Raw genomic sequence first — 18,362 nt, 5'->3', positions numbered from 1 at the left:
CTGCAGAAGGGTGTCACTTGTGTCAATCAAGATCCCAAGTGCACACAGAACAAAGGAGACCAGGGGGTTTTTATCTTTAACACAGTCCCTATCTCTGTGTCACTCCCCCAGGAGCTGGGGTTGGACCACACAATCTGAGCTGACCCGACTGGCTACTTGTACATATTTTCCTAAATATAGCAGAGGAGGGGGACATGAGGTACAGAGGTGGAGCTTGTGAGACGTGCAGTTTCTGGGGAACAACTGGTACAGGTAACCAAGGGAACAGATGTGAGTTATTGATTAGAGCTGATGGGAAGGATTAGGCTGTTTACGGTAACTAGGGCCAAGGAAAAACAAAGTTGAGTTTGAGAACAAAGGATAAGGAAGTTAACAGGCTAAACCTTTTGAAGAGAAACTCAGAAAGATTTATTGTATCTTACAGTTGAGACATGCTCTGGGTGAGGGGGCCTCCTCTCCAGGATGTGTGGCCTCCCTGCCCTCTTGGGCCATCTCTTTCCCCTGCCATACTTTTGCCTGTGTCTCTGCAGCTTCTTAACAATGACTGTGGCCATGCTTTGAACTACTTGGTTCTTGATTAAATATCCTGTTTTCTGAGCAAATATCCTGACTTCCGTGATTTTCATAAAACCAGAGGTTAAGGAAAGTCACAGTGGAAAGGGAGTCCATTGCGGCCTCCTCCTCCAGGACTCCCAGGGCCGCCTGGTGAGTGAGGCGTCTCTCCCCAAGGTGGTGTCTCTGGGCACAGCTCACAGCCCTTAGGCCTCTGCCCTCTGGGTGCCCACAGCAAGCCCTGGCTGACCCTCCATCCTATCCCACCGTCCCTGCCTTGAGTGACCAAGGACAACTGCAGCAGGGCCAAGGGCTCTTGGGATTTAGGGTATAGCTCTGTGGTCAGGCAGGACTCTTTAAAACTTTAATTTTTAAAACTCATATCTAAAACCCTTGCTTTTCCTTCACCTTGCATTTCAGTTTGCAATTTCTGTTCTGATGAATTTCAGCAAGCTCTTCGGGGAAGCTGATGAGATTCTAGGTTGCTTTCAGAGCAGTTAGTGATGAGGCTGACGACGTCCCCTGCTCACAACAGGACATGTTAATGGGTCCCAGGTTGGAGATAAACTCTTGTCTCCACATTCAAGATGGGGCAGGGCTGGCTTCAGGCCCTGAGCTTGGTTTAATGCTCTGCTGCTGCCTTAATTATTAATTAAATGATTATTAATCATTTAATGTCTAATGACTTTTGAAGAAGAAGGCCCCACATCTTCTCTCAGCACTGGGACTTGCAAATCATTTCCCTGGTCCCAAAGAGGACAGTCCCAAGGCAGAAGCCTGTCCTGGGCCAATTGCTGGGGGCCATGAAGGCCACGGGGACCAGCTTGGCTGAGACAGAGGCTGGGCTTGAGGAGAGAGCAGAGGGGGATAGAGGGAAGATGACAAAGTGGAGACAGAGGGGCTTGCTTACCAAAGGGGATGGATAGGATGAGAGGCCGGCGTTTTGGGTGGGATTCCAGAGGGCAGGAGCATTGCTGTGATTTTTTGCCATCTCGCCAGACGGGGCTCATGTGTGCGGGCAGGGGTTGGGCTGCCTTTGTTCCTCACCTTACCCCTGGGTGTGAGTACAGCACAATGCACAGCCTGTACTAACGCTCAAAAAAAAAAAAGAAGTTGTCATATGACAGCTCGTGACAAAAAAATGTCATCTGAGCAATGTCACAGCTGCACCGTATGACAGTAAGGTGTGTTTCTTTGACAAGCAGCAAGTTTCCGGACAGGAGTGCTGGTTACACAGAAACCAGGGAAGTCGTTTGGTGTTGATGACGAGTGTTTATCTCCATTGCTGGCTTAAAGTGAAGGAGCATGTGCCCTTCGGTCAGTGTCGGTGGGATTGGACCCTGTGACTGCTCTGTGCCTTTGGAGAACCTTCTTCTCTGGGCTCCTGGCCCCTCATGCTGGCTTCTTCGTGTGTCGCTGCTGGGTTCATTGTTCCTCCCTCCCCATCACCCTGGGTACAGGGCTGTCTAATGCATGCACCTTGAACATGTGCCCTTACCAGGAAGAGGGTGTTGTGAGTCCTGCCATCCACTTCTGTCTCCTTCTGCCTGCGTCTGCATTGCTTGTCGTGCTTCCCATTTGGCCAGCGCTCCCGCTCTGTGCCTGCAACTGACCCAGTCCTTTAGTCAATGTCAGTGGCCTCTGATCAGTGTGCTCGCCTCGCCACTGGCCTTCCCTATCCTGCAATGCTGCTCCTTTGGTGACAGACTCACCCCTGCTCCTCACCTTGTGTGGGTTTGCTGGAGAAAATCCTCCCAGATGATGCTGGGAGCCCAGGGGAGGGTCTCTGGATGGCGTCAGCTCTGTCCTGGGGAACTGCAGCTGCAGCAGGGCAGGGGACCAAGGGGGCTGTTGTTCTGTGGGAGGGAGGGTGGAAGCCTCTGATGCAGAGGGTGAGTTAAGCACACTCCGCAGTACATGGTAGGTCACGATCAGGGGGTCTCTGTGAGGTCCCTCTCTTGTTTTATTCCCTTTGAATGAGATTTCTCACTCCTAGGCCTCCCTCTCCCACTGCAGGCATCGTTCCTCTTTGTCTTGGGTGCCTTTAGAAAAATGCTCTAACAAAGCACTGTGGCTGTTTTGCATGTAGGCACTTTTAATTCACATAGATGGTATCATTCTGTATTTCTTCTCCTCCTTCCTTTCTCAATCAATGCTACATTTTAAGGTATGACCTTCCTTTCTACGGTCTTAAAAACTTACTGAGATTTCCCAAAGAGCTTTTGTTTATGTGGGCTAATGCTATTGATGTTTACTGCATTAGAAATTGAAAGGAGACACTTAAAAGAATTCATTTGAAAATAGCAGTGATGGGCCCGGTGCGGTGGCTCATGCCTATAATCCCAGCACTTTGGGAGGCCGAGGCGGGTGGATCACCTGAGGTCAGGAGTTCGAGACCAGCCTGGCCAACATGGAGAAACCCCATCTCTACTAAAAATACAAAATACAAAATTAGCCGGGGGTGGTGGTGCATGCCTGTAATCCCAGCTACTCAGAAGGCTGAGGCAGGAGAATGGCGTGAACCGGGGAGGTGGAGCTTGCAGTGAGCCGAGATCACGCCACTGCACTCCAGCCTGGGTGACAGATTGAGACTCCGTCTCAAAAAAAAAAAAAAAAAAAAAAAAGGAAAGCAGTGATGGACTCATTGCATGTTAACATAAGTAACATTTTGGCATTATTATGAAAATTGTTTTGACCTCACAGAATTCCTGTCCTAGTTAACTGTTTGTTTTAGAATATGAAAGGGCACTGTGAAGGACAAAAATTGGAAAGTGAATTTTATTCTTTTTGTTTTATAATACCTGATTCTGGAAAGAAACTATGAAATGTATTACATTTTAGTAAAATCTGCTGTGGTTTCATGAGCTTGCCTCCTTGGTTACTGATGGATACCACTGCCTAGAACAGGAACGGTTATTCTGGATAGCAAAGATTCTGTGTCATACCAGAATACTTTATAGTGTTTTATGTTTAATTTGTAATGCCCTAGAATAGGACACAACAAAACTTCCTTGCTCATGAACAAGCTATACGTATGCTTCTTTGTTTATTTTACTTATTTTGCAGTTCATGCGTGCATAGGCTTTTTAAGAAATTGAGATCTTGTTCGCCTTTTTAAAGAGTACAGGTCAATGGTTTTTAGTATATCGCTAGGGTTTGCAAACAGCACCACCATTTACTTCTAGAACATTACAAAAGGAAAGCCCACGCTCATTAGCACACACTTCCTGTTACTCTCTCGCCACCCCTAACCCCTTGACAACCCCTGATCTACTTTCTGTTTCTGTAGATTTTCCCATTCTGGCCATTTCATATAAATGGAATTGTACAGTACGTGGTCTTTTATGTCTGGCTTCTTTCACTCAGCATAATGCTTTCAAGGTTCATCCATGTTGGAGCATGTATCAGGGCTTCGTTCCACTTAGGGCTGATTGACACTCCATTGTACGGGTATACCACATTTTGTTTTTCCATTCATCAGGTGATTAGCATTTAGATTGCTCCCACTTGTAGCTATCATGAATGATGCTAGGAACATTTGTGTGTGAGTTTTTATGGGGACGTATATCTTCAATACTCTTGGGTCTGTTCATTTTTAAATGCTTTCTTATCACTTAATTAAATGAGTCACCAAAGATTGTTTCTCAGCCACCCATGAGCACATATTAATCAAGCATCTAAATCTCTGACAACTCTTTAGATGTTGCCTTGCGAAATTAGACAGGAAAAAAAAAATGAAAAGGAATTTTCGGGATATCTTTTACACCTACAATAATTTCCCAGAGGAGCGTTGGAAAATCGCCGAGATTTGTTCTTCCACCTTATGAGAAGAGAGATGCTAGGTTTCTTTGATTGCGTTCCTATTATAAGATTTACATGAGAAGAATTGTCAGATTGGAAGAGATGCTCAGCCTTCCCCAGGTTAAAGTTATGTAGACAAAATGTTATTAATGAATTATTAAATATTTTAGAAAATGTGTGTTTTATGGGAAGTCCCTGGCGATTTGTCAATGCCCTCACCACGCAGAACTTCACCCTCAGGAAAAACACAGATCCAGACTGTTGTGAAATAGTTTAAAAGAATTCTTTTGAAAATAGCAGTGATGGACCCATTGCATGGTAACATAAGTAATATTTTGGCATTATTATGAAAATTGTTTCGACCTCGCAGAATTCCTGTCTTAATTGTCAGTTTGTTTTAGAATATGAAAGGGCACTGTGAAGGACAAAATTTGGAAAGTGAATTTTATTGATGTTGTTTTATGATACCTGATTCTGGAAAGAAACTATGAAATGTATTACATTTTAGTAAAATCTGCTTGCCTCCTTGTTTACTGATGGATACCACCTGAGAGAGAAGTTTACTCTCCTCCATTCTGACATTATTGGTTATAGTAATCAATTAACCACAGCTGCGGGGCGCGGTGGCTCACGCCTGTAATCCCAGCACTTTGGGAGGCTGATGCAGGCGAATCACAAGGTCAGGAGATCGAGACCATCCTGGCTAACACGGTGAAACCCTGTCTCTACTAAAAATACAAAAGATTAGCCAGGCATGATGGCGGGCGCCTGTAACCCAGCTACTCGGGAGGCTGGGGCAGAGAGTGGTGTGAACCCAGGAGGCGGAGCTTGCAGTGAGCCGAGATCGCACCACTGCACTCCAGCCTGGGCGACAGAGACAGACTCCATCTCAAAAAAAAAAAAAAAAACCACAGCTATGAAGTCTCTGTCATCTACAGATAGTGTTTGCTTTTCTCTGATGCTTGCTTGAAGGTTCTCCTCTAAGCTACAGGCTGCAGTTGGTGTCATCAACGAAAAAGAACAGTTTTAGAGCCTGGTGGTAAATGACTGGACCAGATACTTCCAACTGTCTGCATTTTATAGACTCGTGAGCAAGGCATCTGAACTGATATCACTTAAGCAGCTCTCAGATTGTAACAGTGGACTGAATCAGGATTTCTAGGACTCTTTTTTTTTTTTTTTTGACAATGATGTCGTTTATTTAAAATGTTTACTCCAAGAAATATATATAATAAGACAATTACAGCACTAAACCAGGCACCTTCGACCAAATCACAACCTCCTGTTTGATTCCCCTTCATGCTAAGCCTCTTTCAAATTCTTTTTCCTGAGCTGGAAGACCAGTTGGATGCCCACAGGGTCAGCGCCAAGCACATTCCCAGCTGGGCAACTGTGTACCTTTCTCTAGGAGTGCACGACACCCTTCCCCCACAACTCCTTGTTTTAAAGGATTTAACCCATTAGGAAGCCCATTTTTCAATCTAAGCCAGAAGGAGGTGCAGGACAAGGCAGTCTTCACTTTGAAGGTCCCTTTCCTGCTCCAGTCCCTGGGCTGGGGTTCTAGAAGAGGCTGGCTGCTGGGTTTACATGAGGCCACCGAAGATCTAAGTTCTAGGACTCTTTTTTAATCCACAAGCAGACGACTTCATGAAAGCAGAGAATGCGGATCCAAGATCCAGTGGAACAAGAATTTATTTCATGGGACTGCATGAGGTGCTGTGGGAATTTCATCATAGTTATTTCTTTAAACTCTTGTTAATGTTGTTTCAATGTTCTATTTTCAGGCTCTAAGAGGAAACCTTTTCTCTTCTTTGGCTCTCTGTAACCCACCACAATTTAGTGGACTCTGCTTTTATATACTGCAATACAGCATTTTAAAATGAGACTTGGCTCTGGCTGGTATGCAGGGGTACCTCATTGCGGTTTTAATTTGCATTTCCCTAATGGCTGTTGATGTTCATCATATTTTATGTGTTTGTTTGCCACTCATGTATCTTCTTCATCAAAGGGTTAGGAAGTAAGATTCTTTTTTTTTTTTTTTTTTTTTGAGACAGAGTCTTGCTCTATTGCCTAGGCTGGAGCGCAGTGGTGTGATGTTGGCTCGCTGCAGCCTCCACCTCCCAGGCTCAAGTGATCCTCCTGTTTCAGCCTCCTGAATAGCTGGGACTACGGGCACGAGCCACCACACCCGGCTAATTTTTTGTATTTTTAGTAGAGAGAGGATTTCGCCATGTTGGCCAGGCTGGTCTCGAACTCCTGACCTCGGGTTATCCACGCCTTGGACTCCCAAAGTGCTGGGATTACAGGCGTGAGCCACCGTGCACGGCTTAGGAAGTAAGATTCTGAAGGGCACTTTGATGCCATCTGTTCCAAGCTCCCCATTCTACAGATGGGGGACTTGAGATCCAAAATGAGATGTCTGGCCATTTTCCCACAGCCAACTGTGGTCTCTGAGTGGAAACCAAGGACAGATGTGGGGAGGACGGAGCACATTGAGCCAGGCCTCTGGGCAGTCTCTGGAGCCCCCGTCTCTTCGGCTTTTCTTCTGCCTCACTGTGGGATTGGTATGTGCAGGTCAGCTCAGCACAGCTGCTCCCTTGGCATACAGTTCGGAGGATTCACACCTGCTAAGCAGGAAAGAGTGTACCTAGTAGGCACCTTGTCTAAGGACTTCCAAACATGGAAGTACCTGAGTTCCTGTGAGCCCTGGGGCAGCTGCAGAACATACACCCAGAAGTAGAGGCAGCATCTTCTGATCCGGAGGTCAGAAGTCCAAACTGGATCTCACTTGGCTAAAATCAAGGTCTTGGCAGGGCTGTGTTCCCTCTGGCGGCTCCAGAGGAGGATCTCTTTCCCTGCCTTTTCCAGCTTCTAGACGCCACCTCTTCCATCTTCAAAGCCTGTTATGGCCGGTGGAGGATTTCTTCCATTGCGTCACTCTGACCCTGACAATTCTGCCTCCCTCCCTCACACAGAAGGGCCCCTGTGGTTACATTGGCCCACCCAAACAAGCCAGGATATCCCCCTATTTTATGGTCATCTGATTAGCAACCTTAATTCCCTTCTGCCACGTGAGATCATGTATTCACCATGCCCCAGGATTAGGACACGGACAGCTTTGGTGGGGATTATTCAGCCCTCCACAGCTTGCTTGGCCCCTGAGACTTGATTGTTCTGGAGAGGAGAGGGGTACTCGGTGAGGGGGAGCCCTGAAAGGGGCAGGTACCCCTAGGTGTGTGGGTTCAGTGGATGTAGGCAGGAAGAGCAATACATGAGTCAGCCACCCTTGTGGGCTTCTACTGGGGGAGCCGCCAAAACCTGTCTCACATGGTCAACGTCCTGTGGAGAAAAATATGGCCGGGGAGGTTGTAGAGTGTAGGGTGGTGGAAGGCTGCGGCCTAATCGGGTTTCAGTGAGAGAGGTGACATTTGAGCCAAGCCTGGAAGGAGAAAAGGAGCCACGCTGCAGGCTGGGAAAAGAGTAAAGTCCAAAGACCCAGCAGGCCTGCAGGGCCCTTCGTGAGCTGGTCCTGGCTACCCTTTGAGTTTTATTTCTTGCTTCTCCCTCCGAGCTTCCTCTCGGTTGAGTGGCTTGCAGTTCCCCGACATGAGCCAGGCTACCTCTGGCCTTGGTGCCACTGTTGATGCTATTTTTTTTTCCTGCTTGTATTTAGTCTGTTCTCACGCTGCTAGCAAAGACATACCTGAGAGACTGGGTAATTTATAAAGGAAAGAGATTTAATTGACTCACAGTTCATCGTGGCTGGGGAGGCCTCAGGAAACTTAGAATCATGGCAGAAGGGGAAGCAAACGTGTCCTTCTTCACCTGGCAGAATCAAGAAGTGCTGAGCAAAAGGGGGAAAGCCCCTTGTAAAATAACAGATCTTGGGAGAACTCACTATTGTCAGAACAGCATGAGGGTGACCGCTCCCATGATTCAATTACCTCCCATTGGGTCCCTCCCACGACACATGGGGATTATAGGAACTACAATTCAAGATGAGATTTGGGTGGCAACATTGCCAAACCATATCACTGCCTGAGATGGTTTTCTTTCCTTTTACCCCTTCTCCTGACCAAATCCTACATTACTTCCAGGTCTCTGCTTATTCCTCACCTCGTCCAGACTTCAGCCCAACTCCAAATCTAGGTTAGGGCTCTCTTCCTGGGCTTTCTTTGAACCCACTAGTATCATCACACTGAGTTTCTAGTTTCCTCTTCTCAGCCTTTAAGCTTCCAGCAGCCAGAGATTGTTGCATTCACTACTGTGTCCCTAGCATCTAGCCTGGGGCCTAGATGGTGGCAGATGTTCAATGAATATCTGAGGTGAATGAACACTCTCTACTATTTATTCAGCCCCTGTACTGAAAAGTATAGCCATTGTGAACACAAGTCATGGGATCAAACTGCTTCTGGTTGAATTCTGACTCTACCACTGACTTGCTGTGTTACTTTAGGTAAGTTGCTTTGCTGATCTGTGCCACTGTTTCTATAAAGAGGAGACAATAGTAGTACCTTTCCCACAGGACTGGTATGAGGATCAAGCTAGCTAACCCCAGGAATATGCTTAGGAGAGAACCCAACACAGGGTATGTGACCCCAAAACCTGTTCTAATGGTATCACCTTGTACTGGTCTTTAATATTTTTTGTGTGTGCTTTTACCTGCTCAACTTTTAGCCACCAATTACCCTGAAACAAAACAAAACAGGGCATGAAGTCAAGGTCCAAAATACTTTGATCATCAGAAGAGGAGCCCTGTTGAGGGATTCCATGGTTCTCTGTGCTGGGCCATTTTCTATTTCCTGACCAGTTTTCCTGATACGACACTTGGAGACGCCGTCACCCCACATATTCTTCTTGGCTTTAGCTAGGAACTACATCTAGCCACTATACCTTTAAAACAACAAGAGCCCCTGCCTATATGTGTGTGTGGCTCCTGACCCAAAGCCCACCCGAAAATGTGATGGCCACTCCCTCTCTGGTCTGTCTTCTCCATCAGATCTAGTCAGTGCAGTGCTCAGCACCCAGGCCACTTTAAGGAACACACAAAAATGTCCTAATTTCTTTTTAAAAGCTGAGGAAAGATGACATCTTAGGTTGAATAAAATGTTTTAGTAAAGAATATCAACATATTCGTCTTTATACCAATGCAGTCATACAGTATATGTTACAATACTTTTTATGGAGGAAGGTGTTCACCAAAGCAAAAGTGCCCAGGGCCCACAAGAGTGAAAACACAGCCCCGTTCCCTCTGTTTCTCTCTTAACCCTTACCCAGAACTAGAAGAAGGAGGGCTGAGAAGTTTCTAATTTGTTATGACTCCAACAGGATGCAAATATGCCTTGGGAAGAAGGGTTTCTTCTGGATGAAGTTCCAGTCTCACTCTATGTGTCACACCCAATCCCGTGCCCCTCCACATCCACCGTCAGTCCTGCGTGGTCTCCCAGACCCCTTGTTGGCTACTTGTGTACCTGTGCACGCATTGACATATGCATCCCAGGCCCTCTTGCAGGTTCGTTTACATATATGCCCACGTGTTGACATATGCATCCTGTCCTTTCTTGCAGGTTCACTTACATACATGCCAACATGTTGACATAGGCATCCTGTCCCTTCCTGCAGGTTCATTAACATACATGTCCATGTGTTGACATATGCACCCCATCTTCCATATGCATCCAACATCCCTTCCCCCAAGTTTTCAAGTTCTAACATGTTAATTCCTGTTGTCTTGCCCTTTCTTCCTTCAATCCTTTCCTACTGTCAGTGGGCCAAGAGTGAAGAAGACCTGGGCTCCAGTGCTTGAGCTAAACATGTGGCATTCTCTGTACAACTCTTTCCTTCTGGGTGGTCTTGTGATCTGGGGAAAGATACTTTCCCCAGAACTTGATGGCCTCGATTTTTTTCAGTTGTAAAATGGGGATTTCTTGGGTGACCACTGTTCCCTGCTGGGGACTGGATCACTCATCTACTCTTTGGAATTCCCATCCCCTGTCCCACATGTCTGATTCTAAGAGGGTCACCCCACCTGCTGGCCATGAGTGATTGGTCAGAGGTGAGCATGTGACCAAAGGTGGGTCAATTACAGCTCCTCCTCTGTGGCATTTTGAACTAGAACTAAGGGAAGAGAAACAGTCCTTTGCCAAATGTGTAGCTTTGAGCCAATGAATTCATGTGACAAATGTTTACTGAGCACCTACTGTGTGCTTGGCATCGTTCTAGATGGTGGGGATATAGCCAGCTAAGGTCATGTTTCCTGCCATATGGAAGACATCAGTCTGAGAAAATAAAGCCATCAGTTACAGCAAAGCAGAAATAAGAGAGAGAAGACTCCTGGCAGTATGTGTGTTCCCAGTTCAGGTTGTCCAGGAGGCCCTTCCAGACATATGAGATAGTCCAGCTTCTATCCACTAATTCTCTGTTTTGCCTGAGCCAGTCGTACCTGGATTTCTGTCACTTTCCAAAGACCTGACTACTGCAAAGGTAACACATTCTGACTGGCTCATGTCCTGAGGTTCTTGGAGCTGTTATTATTTTATCATTCCCTAAAGGGTTTCTCAAGTTAAGTTCAGACTCACACCCGCCCTCTTTCCCTGAAGGTGGAGTCACTCATTCATTCATTTGTGCACTCTTGTGGCCATGCACTCCTCAAAAAACACAGCCCCCACCTCTAGGAGTTCCCATTATCCTTTTGGAGGACTTGGATAAGGAGATAAGCAGGCATTGAAATCTCAGCCCTCATACATCTCAGCAGTATCTGATACCTTTGATCACTTACCTCATCTTCAGACACCACTTTTCACTTGTCTTTCAGGAAACCATACCCTCCTGGTTTCTCTCTGCCTGCCTGGCCGTGCCCTCTTCCCTTCCAGAGCTCTCACTATGGGAGGGCCCAGAGATCCTATCTCAGACCTCCTTTCTAGTATCTCCTGGGGGAATCTCATGCCATTCCCACCACCTTAAAACCCATCTTTGCACAGATGTTTTACAAATTCATATTTCTAGCCCCGACATCTTCCAGAACTTCAGGTTCACATATTCAGTGCCCACTGGTGTCTCTAGTTTCTGAGTGTGTTGGGTGTGTCCTCGCTATACCTCTTCATCACTCCCCACCCTTCCCCGCTTGTTTTCTGCCCTTGAGTCTGGCCTGTGTGGATTCCATTAGTAGGCTCCTGGCCCTCTGGCTTCAGGCAATGTGGAACCCTAGAAGGAGATAGGAAGGAAGCAGGGAGGAGGGGGCATGTGTTTACTCCATAAGAGCTAATCTGGGCTTGGCTGTGTGCTTGAACAGAACATGTGACATTCCCTGCACAACTCTTCCTTTCTGGGTTCCTCTCATTCCTTTGGGCCTAAGTGTGGTAACAGCAACTTCCCTGTCACTAGTCCCTGGTTCACCACTATCCCTTATGAGTCCCTTGTATTTCACTCACATGCATATAAAAGATGTTTGTGAACAAATCCTCCTTGAATGATATGAATGGAAGGTGCTGTCTGTTTTCTATTGGGATCTATACTGAATTAGTAACTTGTACTGGAGATGGCCCTAGGAAACAAGATCTGGATATTCTGGGGTTGGGTTGATAAATTATTCAAGAAAGACAGGGATGGCCTCTTTGTCAGAGGGAAACAGAACATGGATTTTTTTCATCACAGGTGGTGGCATCACAAATCCTCAAATGATCACTGGTAGGGACAGGGACAATAGGTGGGTAGAGGATAAAGCACCGACCGAGGCTTCAGATGGTTGTGGTACTTAGTTCCTATGGCAAGCAAAAGGAATGTAAAGATTTTGGGGTCATCTGGATCATTCTTGTGGCTCTAGAGAGTACGCATAAGGAAAAACATTTTTTGAAATAGGGTCTCACTCTGTCACCCAGGCTGAGTGCAATGGCGTGATCTTGGCTCACTGCAGCGTCTCGACCTCCCAGGTCAAGCAATCCTCCCACCCTCAACCTCCTGAGTAGCTGGGAGCACATGCGCATGCCATCATACCCAGCTAATTTTTTGTATATTTTGTAGAGATGGGGTTTCACTATGTTTCCCAGGCTGGTCTCAAACTCCTGAGCTCAAGCCATCTACCCACCTCGGCCTCCCAAAGTGCTGGGATTACAGATGTGAGACACCTTGACCAACTGAGAATTTTTAAAACTACAAATATACAATTAAGAGCATACATGAAGATTAAGAAGACCTCTAGGATGGCCTGGAAGGAGTTCCTCGTCTCCTGTGGTCCAACGGCAGATATGGCTGAACTGAAAAGGGCTGCAAGTTTGCAGAGGCAAAGCTCCTGCCCCAAGGTAAGGGTGCCAGTGGGGGAAAGCACAGGGCCCTGAGACATGAGGGAGGCAAGTAAATTTGAGTCCCTAATTTCCCCCGACCCCATCCCCTAATGTCTTTGAGCCTTAGTTGCTTTATCTGAAAATAGTATCCGTCTGGTAGGATTGTTGTGAGATTAAATGAGGTAGTGTTGTTAAAATACATCTTGTAGACAATCAATATGTGACAGCATGAAAAAAAATCTGTCATCTCTCTATTGTAGGATCTAAGAGCTCTGTGAACCCAAAGGCCAAGCTGGCCCTACACCAAGAGGCATGCGATCGGGTGTTGGGTAACTTGCACTTTGAGGAGGAGAAGTTAAGTTCTGGTGGTCTAGAGCTTCTGGCTGGAGGTCCTTCCTGCTTGGTGGAGATCACTTAGTCCCAGTGGTAGGGACCCCATTGGTATAAAGTGGATCCAATCTGCTGGATTCATACCCTGGCTCTGCCCCAACTGGCCAGGGCTCGTTACTAAACCTTTTTATTTATGTATTTATTTACTTATCTGTTTTGTTTAAATTACTTTTTGAGACAGAGTCTCAGTCTGTTGCCCAGGCTGGAGTGCAGTGGTGCAGTCTTGGCTCACTGCAACCTCTGCCTCGCGGGTTCAAGCGATTCTCATGCCTCAGCCTCCCAAGTAGCTGGGATTGCAGGTGCGTGCTACCACACCTGGCTAATTTTTGCTTTTTTTTTTTTTTTTTTTTTTTTTGAGACGCAGTCTCACTCTGTCGCCCAGGCTGGAGTGCAGTGGTGCGATCTCGGCTCACTGCAAGCTTCGCCTCCCGGGTTCACGCCATTCTCCTGCCTCAGCCTCCCGAGTAGCTGGGACTACAGGCGCCTGCCACCACGCCTGGCTAATTTTTCATATTTTTAGTAGAGACGGGGTTTCACTGTGTTAGCCAGGATGGTCTTGATCTCCTGACCTTTTGATCCGCCCACCTCAGCCTCCCAAGTGCTGGGATTACAGGTGTGAGCCACCGCACCCAGCCTAATTTTTGTATTTTTAATAGAGATGGCGATTCACCATGTTGGCCAAACTGGTCTTGAACTCTTGACCTCAGGTGAGCCACCCACCTTGGCCTCCCAAAGTGTTGGAATTACAGGCATGAACCACCATGCCAGGCCCAAAACCTTTTTAATCTTCAGTTTTCTTTCCTGGACAGTGGAGACAATCACAGCACCTCTCAAAGGATTAAGAAAGATGCTCCAGGTCAACTGTTGAGCACAATACTAATACTACCCTTAGTAAGACTTCATTGAACTTGTCAGCTATGTTATAATCTCAGAGATATAGAAAGAAACATGAAACTAAGAAGTGACTCAGGTTGGTGAAGAGATAGGCAATGAATGGTGAGTGAAAGCCATAGAGTCTTGGGGGTCCTATGCCCCACTTGGGTGGGTCCCATTACCCTCCTCCATCCACGTGAGAATAGGCCCTCCCTTTGTCAGGCAGAGCTGCTAACTGTAGAGAGAAGTTGACCACTAGACAAGATTGGGTAAGTTTCCACAGCAGGACCTTTCCATTTTATTGTCTGTAAACTCTTCTTTGGTAAACAAGAAACCCAAAGAGAAAAGGAGCACGCCGAGTAAAGAAGGCAAGGAAAGGGCGGGTGCCTTCCACACACAGGAGTTCTGAGAGGACAGCTACACCATTGGCAAGGTGGTGGATGGAACCTGGAAGTTTGGGGTGGGTGGTGGCATGGGGGACCGGCAGAGGGGAGCGAGAGGGAAGAGTCCACTCTGTTGGACATAGAAGCCTAAATCATACAGCGAGGGAGCTCATGCATCACAGCGAAGAGAATTAGGGACCCTCCACCCATGCCCCCATCACCTTCCATGTGTGTGATCCACTGAGCAAAGACTGCCTGGGCAGGGGTGGGTGCAGGGGGCTCAGGACAGCCCCCCAGCTGCCCATCCTCTATCTCTCATTTCCTGCTCTGCAGGCAGGTGTGTGCAGGCTGTAGGGGTGGGGGCGGGGCGCTCACGGTCTCTGAGTCTGGGTAGACGCATCAGGGCAGCAGAAGCAGGGTTTGGGGGAGGTGGAGAAGCAGCCCCCGTCCCCACTTTACATGGGGGGCTCGCTGCAGAGCACAATCTCCAGGTCCTTGCGGTAGAGCTTCCCTGCCTCTGCCAAGGACATGACGCTCTTTCTGTAGTTGGTGAGCTGTTGAATATTCATTTCCTAGGAAATACAGGGAGAGGGTAAGAGCAGGTTCAGGGGATGGTCCCGACGCAAGGAGCCCACGTCCACATTCACAAACACAAACACCCACACCTTTCTCTCATCTCATCCCAGGATAAGTGGCTTAGATGAATGCAAAGCATGGATTTTGGAGTCAGACAGATGGAGGTTAAAGCCTCTCTTTCACTTACTGGCTGCATTGCTTTGGGGAAGGTAGTCAACCTTCCTGAGACTCAGCTGCCTCACCTGTAAAATGGGTACACTAAAAGTTCATGCCTCATGGAGGTGTTGCGATGATTACGTGAGGGAATGAATATAAGCCACATCAGCAAGCACTTGAAAAATAAAAGGTAGCTATTGTGACAGTCATGATCTATGTATGACTTGTATATATTTCCTCGACCTCACTGGGCCTCGGTTAACTCAAGGCCAAACTGGCTCACTGCAGGTGATGAAGAGAATGCCAGGAAAGCTCCCTGGTCTTGCCTTCTAGCCTCCTGGACCACTCTTTCCTAAGTCTCATCTATTTAAGCAAGGAATTTTTTTTATTTTTTTTATTTTGAGGCGGAGTCTTGCTCTGTGGCCTAGACGGGAGTGAAGTGACACGATCTCGGCTCACTGCAACCTCTGCCTCCCGGGTTCAAGCGATTCTCCTGCCTCAGCCTCCTAAGTAGCTGGGATTACAGGTGTGAGTCACCGCACCTGGCCCCTATTTAAGCAAGGAAGTCTGCTTTTTTTTTTTTTTTTTTTTGAGATGGAGTCTTGCTCTGTGGCCCAGGCTGGAGGGAAGTGACGTGATCTTGGCTCACTGCAACCTCTGCCTCCCGGGTTCAAGCTATTCTCATGCCTTAGCCTCCCGAATAGCTGGGCTGGGATTACAGGCACCTGTCACTATGCCCAGCTAATGTTTGCACTTTTTTTTTTTTTTTAGTAGAGACGGGGGTTTCACCATGTTGGCCAGGCTGGTTTCGAACTCCTGACCTCAGGTGATCTGCCCGCCTCCACCTCCCAAAGTGCTGTGATTACAGGTGTGAACCACTGCACCCAGCCCCTATTTAAGCAAGGAATTCTAAATCCCAGCTTCTCCAGCAATAAAGCTCGCCAGCCTACTTCTTGTTCACTGGCTTCTTGTGTTCAGGGGCCACTGAGACAGGTGAGCCATGAACATATGCCCATTGTCTCATATAAATGGAGACCCATATTAAATACCAACACCTGATATGCCTGATGTTAAATACATGCTTTACAATGATTGCTTCGGATACAAATAACCAATGGGTCTGAAATATAGCAAGGTCATCATCAACACTGGAAAATGACTTAAACAACCTTTTCTTTCTTTCCTTCTCCCCCACTCTATCCCTCTTTTTTCTTTTTTCTTTTTCTTTTTCTTTTTCTTTTTTTTTTTTTTTTTGAGATAAGGTCTTGCTCTTGTCACCCAGGCTGGAATGCAATGGCGTGATCACAGCTCACTGCACCCTTGACCTCCTGGGCTCAAGCGATCCTTTTGCCTCAGCCTCCCAAGTAGCTACGACTATAGGTGGGCGCCACTACATCCAGTTCTTCTTTTATTCTTTTGTATTGAAAATGTTAGCAGATACTTAAAATTTTTTTCCCTCCTAGGCTGATGGGTCATTATCTCCATTCTGCTAATAAGAAAACTGAGGTACAGTCATGCTCATGAATATCTGTAATCTAATCATGAATATCTGTAATCCAAGCATGAGCCCTGAAGTCTAATGATTTCACTGGTGCACTATTCTGTCACCTCTTTCTCAGGGCTCAAGGGCCAGTCTTTTTTTCCCATTGTGCCGGGGCTTCTCTTTTTATGCCATTAATTTCTGGTTTGGTGCCATGAAAACCCAAGGGCACTTTGCAAGCATGTCTAGCTTTGAGAGGCACCTTCCCTAAGTTGTGATGTTCTTGGAAATGTCACATAACACTGGCGTGCACCTGAGATATCTGCCACTTAATCAGAAGCCAAGGAAGGGACCTCATCTATCAACCCCAAGCTTGGGACAACTTCCGCAGTGAACTGTGGCAGCGAGAGACTTAGCAGCATGGGGGAGGGGCTGCTTACTTCCTATAAGTTTCACTTAAAACTGGGGAAGGCTCTAGTGAGTTGCCATGGCCTTGGGAGTGCTAAGAAATACTGAAGTTCAATCCCATCAGCCTGTCCCCTCGAGGAGCCTCAAACATTAATCTGCTCAGAAACCTTATCACACTCCATGCAGGCACCATCCAAATGGAATGCGTGCATCTATGTGGGTTTACAAAAAAAAAAAAAGGCCCTTCCGTTCCAGCACAGGTGCTGTGATTTAGAGTCACGCGGCTCTCTCTTTCTACTCATTCACTCTCTCAATCCTCAGGCGCCAAATCTGAAACTTGGTCCAGGTGGAAGGCTCTCAGGTAAACAGCTTTGTTAATATTCTTGCTCTCTGACCTTCAGAGTGGCTTCTGAATCCCAACAGCAGAATCTTTACTTTTGTTTCCATACTTGGAGTCAAGCTGTGCAGCACCACAAGCTGTCCTTTGTGTGAACCAAGGAAGAGCTTAGTGAGTTGATGACCAGGAAATTCAGGTCACTCTGAGATTTAATGCATGTCTTCAGGGTTTATCCACCTCAGGTATAAGACAGAGTCTCATGAAGACAAACTATGCCTCATTCATACAATTACACATAAAGGTATTTTCCACTATGGTGCCCAACATTCCTTGGATACATACGGGCACATACATAATTTTCTCCTAGAATTTAGTGCCAAGAAAAAAGTTCAAACACCTGGTGAGTACTTCCTTCTTCCCAGGAAGTATTTGCTTCCTTATCATTTATTTTCTGCCTCTTTCAAGAGTAATTGTAGGTAACATTTAAATAAAAAAGATGAAATAAATGAAGGATGATATTTAAGATAAAGAGATCAGAAAGCACTTGGAAAGGGAGATGAATAGAGACTGCAGATAATTTTTTCCTGAAATTGAGCATTAAATTTAGCTCTTGCTTGTCAGCCAAGGCGGTGAGACAACTCAAGGAATTGTAGAGCTTTCATTGTCTAATTAAAGAAAGCAGCAAAACCAGTTGCTCAGAGAAAGACATTTTCCAGGCGGTGAACGAAGACAGCTGCAAAGGTTTGGCTCCTGGCTGCCGTTCCACCTGACTCCTCCACCCAGTGCACCAAACTGAGCCCATGGGAGGGTCTCCCAGGGTATTCCCAGGAGGCAACATCAGGCAAAATAATGGAGTTCACTTCTTTGCCTTTTCTTTGAGAGGAACAAACTCTTCAGTGGCTCCTTTTAACCCCTCCCCCAGCTCCCGATTCTGCAGTTCATCAATCCAGAATAGCCCTTCACCTCTCACTGGCCTCTGTCCTCCAGAATCTCTCTTTGTGTGGAAAGTGTTTTTTTGGTTGGCAATTTGGCTAACACTTTCACACGTCAACACTGTCATGGCCTCACAGCAGCATCCCCCACAACAGCCAGCAGATGGGTGCAACCCAAGCGTCCACAGAAGAGAA

General features: G+C 46.7%; 1 protein-coding gene across 3 annotated transcripts in view, besides 7 other annotated features; it reads right to left on the bottom strand.

The window, feature by feature from the left end:
* Nucleotides 1–14,165: 14,165 nt before the first annotated feature.
* Nucleotides 14,166–18,362, bottom strand: part of CALB2 (calbindin 2) — a 31,711-nt gene continuing 27,514 nt past the window's right edge. For all 3 annotated transcript variants that reach the window (NR_027910.3, NM_001740.5, NM_007088.4), the window contains one exon: nt 14,166–14,850. Coding sequence is in view for 1 of the 3 variants with exons in the window: in NM_001740.5 (NP_001731.2) it covers nt 14,734–14,850 (117 nt within the window). In the remaining 2 variants the exon portion in view is untranslated. The remainder of the gene's footprint in view (nt 14,851–18,362) is intronic.
* Nucleotides 14,624–15,169: an enhancer, noted in NCBI's record as "H3K4me1 hESC enhancer chr16:71423333-71423878 (GRCh37/hg19 assembly coordinates)". NCBI's record gives its function as "activates a minimal SCP1, AML or CMV promoter by ChIP-STARR-seq in primed H9 embryonic stem cells {active_cell/tissue: H9 hESC(primed)}" and the evidence as "EXISTENCE:reporter gene assay evidence [ECO:0000049][PMID:30033119]".
* Nucleotides 15,915–16,084: an enhancer, noted in NCBI's record as "experimental_43990 CRE fragment used in MPRA reporter constructs". NCBI's record gives its function as "activates a minimal promoter by MPRAs in K562 erythroleukemia cells, with activity observed for the introgressed 16:71422503 variant allele {active_cell/tissue: K562}" and the evidence as "EXISTENCE:reporter gene assay evidence [ECO:0000049][PMID:34662402]".
* Nucleotides 16,353–16,903: an enhancer, noted in NCBI's record as "H3K27ac hESC enhancer chr16:71421599-71422149 (GRCh37/hg19 assembly coordinates)". NCBI's record gives its function as "activates a minimal SCP1, AML or CMV promoter by ChIP-STARR-seq in primed H9 embryonic stem cells {active_cell/tissue: H9 hESC(primed)}" and the evidence as "EXISTENCE:reporter gene assay evidence [ECO:0000049][PMID:30033119]".
* Nucleotides 16,353–17,454: a biological region, named in NCBI's record as "hESC enhancers GRCh37_chr16:71421048-71421598 and GRCh37_chr16:71421599-71422149".
* Nucleotides 16,819–17,113: an enhancer, noted in NCBI's record as "tiled region #8646; K562 Activating non-DNase unmatched - State 22:ReprW". NCBI's record gives its function as "activates a minimal TATA promoter and a strong SV40 promoter by Sharpr-MPRA in K562 cells {active_cell/tissue: K562}" and the evidence as "EXISTENCE:reporter gene assay evidence [ECO:0000049][PMID:27701403]".
* Nucleotides 16,904–17,454: an enhancer, noted in NCBI's record as "OCT4-NANOG-H3K27ac hESC enhancer chr16:71421048-71421598 (GRCh37/hg19 assembly coordinates)". NCBI's record gives its function as "activates a minimal SCP1, AML or CMV promoter by ChIP-STARR-seq in naive and primed H9 embryonic stem cells {active_cell/tissue: H9 hESC(naive and primed)}" and the evidence as "EXISTENCE:reporter gene assay evidence [ECO:0000049][PMID:30033119]".
* Nucleotides 17,455–18,005: an enhancer, noted in NCBI's record as "OCT4-NANOG-H3K4me1 hESC enhancer chr16:71420497-71421047 (GRCh37/hg19 assembly coordinates)". NCBI's record gives its function as "activates a minimal SCP1, AML or CMV promoter by ChIP-STARR-seq in naive and primed H9 embryonic stem cells {active_cell/tissue: H9 hESC(naive and primed)}" and the evidence as "EXISTENCE:reporter gene assay evidence [ECO:0000049][PMID:30033119]".

This window comes from Homo sapiens, chromosome 16 (assembly GCF_000001405.40).
Source record: "Homo sapiens chromosome 16, GRCh38.p14 Primary Assembly".
NCBI classification, from domain to species: domain Eukaryota; kingdom Metazoa; phylum Chordata; class Mammalia; order Primates; family Hominidae; genus Homo; species Homo sapiens.
The sequence above is the reverse complement of the archived record's forward strand: the minus strand, read 5'-3'. Positions and strand labels throughout refer to the sequence as shown.